Source organism: Homo sapiens, chromosome 10, assembly GCF_000001405.40.
Source record: "Homo sapiens chromosome 10, GRCh38.p14 Primary Assembly".
NCBI classification, from domain to species: domain Eukaryota; kingdom Metazoa; phylum Chordata; class Mammalia; order Primates; family Hominidae; genus Homo; species Homo sapiens.
Window position 1 is genome coordinate 100,844,290 of NC_000010.11, and position 4,477 is coordinate 100,848,766.

Genomic DNA, 4,477 nt, shown 5'->3' on the forward strand with positions numbered 1-4,477 from the left:
AGAATATGTGTTAATCGACAGTTTGTTATTGGTAAGCCTTCTGGGCAACAGTAGGCTATTCGTAGTTAAGTTTTGGGAGAGTCAAAAGTTATACATAGATTTTTTTTTTTAATTATTTATGTCCATAGATTTTGGGGGAACAGGTGCTATTTGGTTACATGAGTAAGTTTCTTTAGTGGTGATTTGTGAGATTTTGGTGCACCCATCACTCGAGCAGTGTACACTGAACCCAATGTGTAGTCTTTTACCCCTCACCCCTTCTCACCCTTTGCCCCTGAGTCCCCAAAGTCCACTGTATAATTCTTATGCGTTTGCATCCTCATAGCTTAGCTCCCACCTATGAGTGAGAACATACAACGTTTGGTTTTCCATTCCTGAGTTACTCACTTAGAATAATAGTCTCCAATCCCATCCAGGTTGCTGCAAATGCTGTTAATTCATTTCTTTTTATGGCTGAGCAGTATTCCGTCATATATGTACCACAGTTTCTTTATCCATTCGTTGATTGGTGGGCATTTGAGTTGGTTCCACATTTTTGCAATTGTGAATTGTGCTGCTATAAACATGTGTGTGCAAGTACCTTTTTCAACAATGACTTCTTTTCCTCTGGGTAGATACCCAGTTGTGGGATTTCTGAGTCAAATGGTAGTTCTACTTTTAGTTCTTTAAGGAATCTCCACACTGTTTTCCATAGTGGTTGTACTAGTTTACGTTCCCACCAACAGTGTAGAAGTGTTCCCTTTTCACCTTATCCATGCCAACATCTATTTTTTAAATTTTTTTTATTATGGCCATTCTTGTGGAAGTAAGGTGGTATCATATAGTGGTTTTGATTTGCATTTCCTTGATCATTAGTGATGTTGAGCATTTTTTTCATGTTTTTTGGCCATTTGAAAAGTTACACATGGATTTTCAACTACATCATGGGTCCGCACTCCAGCCCCTGCAGTGTTCAATGGTCAACTGTATATAACTTTTTTTTTTTTGAGGCAGGGTCACAATCATGGCTCACTGAAGCCTTAACCTCATGGGTTCAAGTGTTCTTCTTGCCTCATCCTCCCAAGTAGCTGGGACTACAGCGACACACCACCACGCCTGGCTAAGTTTTTGATTTTTTGTAGAGATGAGGTCTTGCTATATTGCCCAGGCTGGTCTCAAACTCTTGGGCTCAACCCATCCTCCCGCCTCAGCCTCCCAAAGTACTGGGATTACAGGTGTGAGCTACCACTCGCAGCCAACTATATTTAACTTTTATTTATTTATTTTTATTTTATTTTTATTTTTTATATATTTTTTTTGGAGACAGAGTTTCACTCTGTTATCCAGGCTGGAGTGCAGTGCTGCCATCTTGGCTCACTGCAACCCACCTTCCAGGTTCAAGAGATTCTCCTGCCTCAGCCTCCTGAGTAGCTGGGTACAGGAGCCCGCCACAATGCCTGGCTAATTTTTTTTGTATTTTTAGTAGAGACAGGGTTTCGCCATGTTAGCCAGGCTGGTCTCAAACTCCTGACCTCAGGTGATCTGACCTCGGCCTCCCAAAGTGCTGGGATTACAGGCATGAGCCACCACGCCTGGCCTATATTTAACTTTTAATGAAAAATTCAAACATACACAAAAGTGAGAAAATAGTACAATGAACTCTCATATTCTAATCCCTCAGAATTAGCAATTTATCAAAATTTTGCCACACTTGCTTCATGTAAGTACATTACTTTAAATTTTTTAGAAAATTTTTTAAAATTTTAGAAATATACACAATAAATTAATAATATGGCTACCTCTGAAACATATGACTGATATAGAGATGGGAGAGGTGAGGAAAAGAGCTTTTTTCCTTTTTAAACAGTTTTATTTTTATTTTTATCTTACAAACTTATGCCATGCGCTGCTCTAAACACTTTACACTCATTTAATCCTCATAGCAAATCGATGAAGTGTGTGCTAGTTTTATTCTTATTTGATAGAAGAGAGCTGTTTATCATTTGAATTTTTTTCAGTGAGCAGATATTCCTTTTTAAATATTTATTTATGTGTTTGTTTTAGAGACAGGGTCTCCGTCTGTTGCCCAAGATTCACTGTAACCTCAAACTCCTGTGTTTAAGGGATTCTCCCACTTTAGTCTCCCAAGTAGCTGGGACTACAGGCAGGGGCCACCATGCCTGGCCAATTTTAATTTTTTTTTTTTTTTAGAGATGGGGGTCTCACTATGTTGCCCAGGTTGGTATTGAACTCCTCTCTTCAAGTGATCCTCCAGTCTTGACCTGTAAATAATAATTTTTTAAAAGATAATGGACTATAAAAACAAGTTTCCTGACTCATATATAATACATAATAACTCTTTGGTTATTTCTTCTCCAGTATATAAAGTCCCAGTCCCAAAGATGCCTCCAAGGTAGAATGATGCATTCTCGTTATTAATAACACTTTCACTCCCAATCTGTCCCAGTTTAGGTAATAACTTGAATGACCACCCTACTTTAAGGCTTGTGTTTAGGGCTGGACGCAGTGGTGCACGTCTGTAATCCCAGCACTTTGGGAGGCCAAGGTGAGTGGATCACTTGAGGTCAGGAGTTTGAGACCAGCCTGGCCAACATGGCAAAACCCCATCTCTACTAAAAATACAAAAATTAGCCAGGTTTGATGGCCAAGGTGGGCGGATCACGAGGTCAAGAGTTCAGACCAGCCTGACCAATATGGTGAAACCCTCCTCTACTAAAAATACAAAAATTAGCTGGACGTTGTGGCACACACCTGTAGTCCCAGCTACTCAGGAGGCTGAGGCAGGAGAATCACTTGAACCTGGAAGGCAGAGGTTGCAGTGAGCCAAGATCGTGCCACTGCTCTCCAGCCTGGGCAACAGAGTGAGACTCCGTCTCAAAAACAAAACAAAACAAAACAAAACAAAACAAAACAAAAAACAAGACTTTGTGTTTAGATCCTTCACCATAGGGATTGTCCTCCTCTGGACTTTGTTCTTAGGGGTCCCCAGGCCTGAACCTAGCAAACTATGGGGCCCGGTGGGAACACTGACCTTTCTTCTTCCAGGCTTCCTGCATCTACCGAGGCAGCCTGGGAGTCAACAGGCTCCTGGTAGTGCCACACAATTGACTCACAATGAATTCGCTGTCAGATAAACTTTGTCTTTTTCACGTGATTCATTTCTAAGCCGAGACTCCTGGGCCCACATTTGCACTTCTGATCTTTTTAACCTGCCTGCAGGACTCTACATCCATGCTCTCCAAATGTCATTTGCTCATGTTGGGTCATCATTCCAGCCTGCCAAGATCATTTTGAACCTCAATTCTGTCACCCAATCTATTAGTAAGCCTGTTCCTCTTTGTGTCATCTGAAGGTGTGATGAGCTGGACACCTACATCTTCATTTGAGTCACTGATAGAAACATCGCGTGGCCAGGGCTGAGTCACAGGCTCAGAGACGTCATGCTGGCAAGACAGAAAACCTGTCATCACGTCTCTTTGGGTAGAGTGAGTCTCCAGCTATGAATCTTCCAAGCAGGGCCATCATGCAGCCCACATTTTCCCATCACATACACAAGAATACAATGATAAGCTGCTTTATGCCCTGTTGTAAGTATAAAAACAGTGCCTTCTGCATTCCCCTAACCTCTTCATTCTGTATCCTTATCAACAAAAGAAGCATGATATGCTGTCCTTTGGTATGTGTTTGTAGAGACCTCATGCTGGCTTCTGCCAAACATCATTCTCCTTGCTAAGCATTGCCAGACCTCATATATAATAATCATTTCTAGAATTTTGCCAGGAATCAGCATTAATTTGGACACTCTTTAATTTCCATATCCAAAGCCTACTCCTTGCTGGCTATGATGGCAGTATTCGTCCAACTCCACCCCGTAGCACCCCTCCTAATTTCCAGGATCCCCTGAAGTCACTGACAGCAGATTCCTGATTACATATCATCTTGACACCTATCTGAACCTTTTTACAGTAGACTACTCTGCTGCCATTAACAATATTGGTATGGATTGTAGAGCTATATTCACTGACATGAAAAAGTGTCCACCATACCTTGTTAAGTGAAAAATAAAGTTTACAAAGCAATATGATTTTATAATTCCATTTTTGTAAAAAAACAAAAACAAAAACAAAAAACCTTCATTATGTACACATAAAAATAAAGTCCAGAAGTCTACATACCAAAATATTAACAGCGGTAATATGGGTGGAAGAATTACAGGTGATGTTTTTTTCGCACATCTGAATTTTCCAGTTCTTCTTCAATTAGCATTCATAACTCATGTAATGAAGGAAAACAGCTTTTTTTTAAAAAAGTCAAGGTTGACTTCCCAGACTCTGGTAAATCAGAGCTATCTTAGAGCACAAATAACATTCCTCCACATGCTTCTCTCTTCTCCCTGAGAATTTCATTCTCCCGTAATATAAGGAGGAGGGAGGGGAGAGAAAAAGAGGATGGGGCTGCCATTTGTAGGCACAATGCC

General features: G+C 40.7%; 1 annotated feature.

The window, feature by feature from the left end:
• Nucleotides 2,742-3,941: an enhancer, noted in NCBI's record as "BRD4-independent group 4 enhancer chr10:102606788-102607987 (GRCh37/hg19 assembly coordinates)". NCBI's record gives its function as "activates an origin of replication core promoter dependent on BRD2, P300/CBP, MED14 and CDK7 cofactors, and independent of BRD4, by STARR-seq in HCT116 cells {active_cell/tissue: HCT116}" and the evidence as "EXISTENCE:reporter gene assay evidence [ECO:0000049][PMID:35650434]".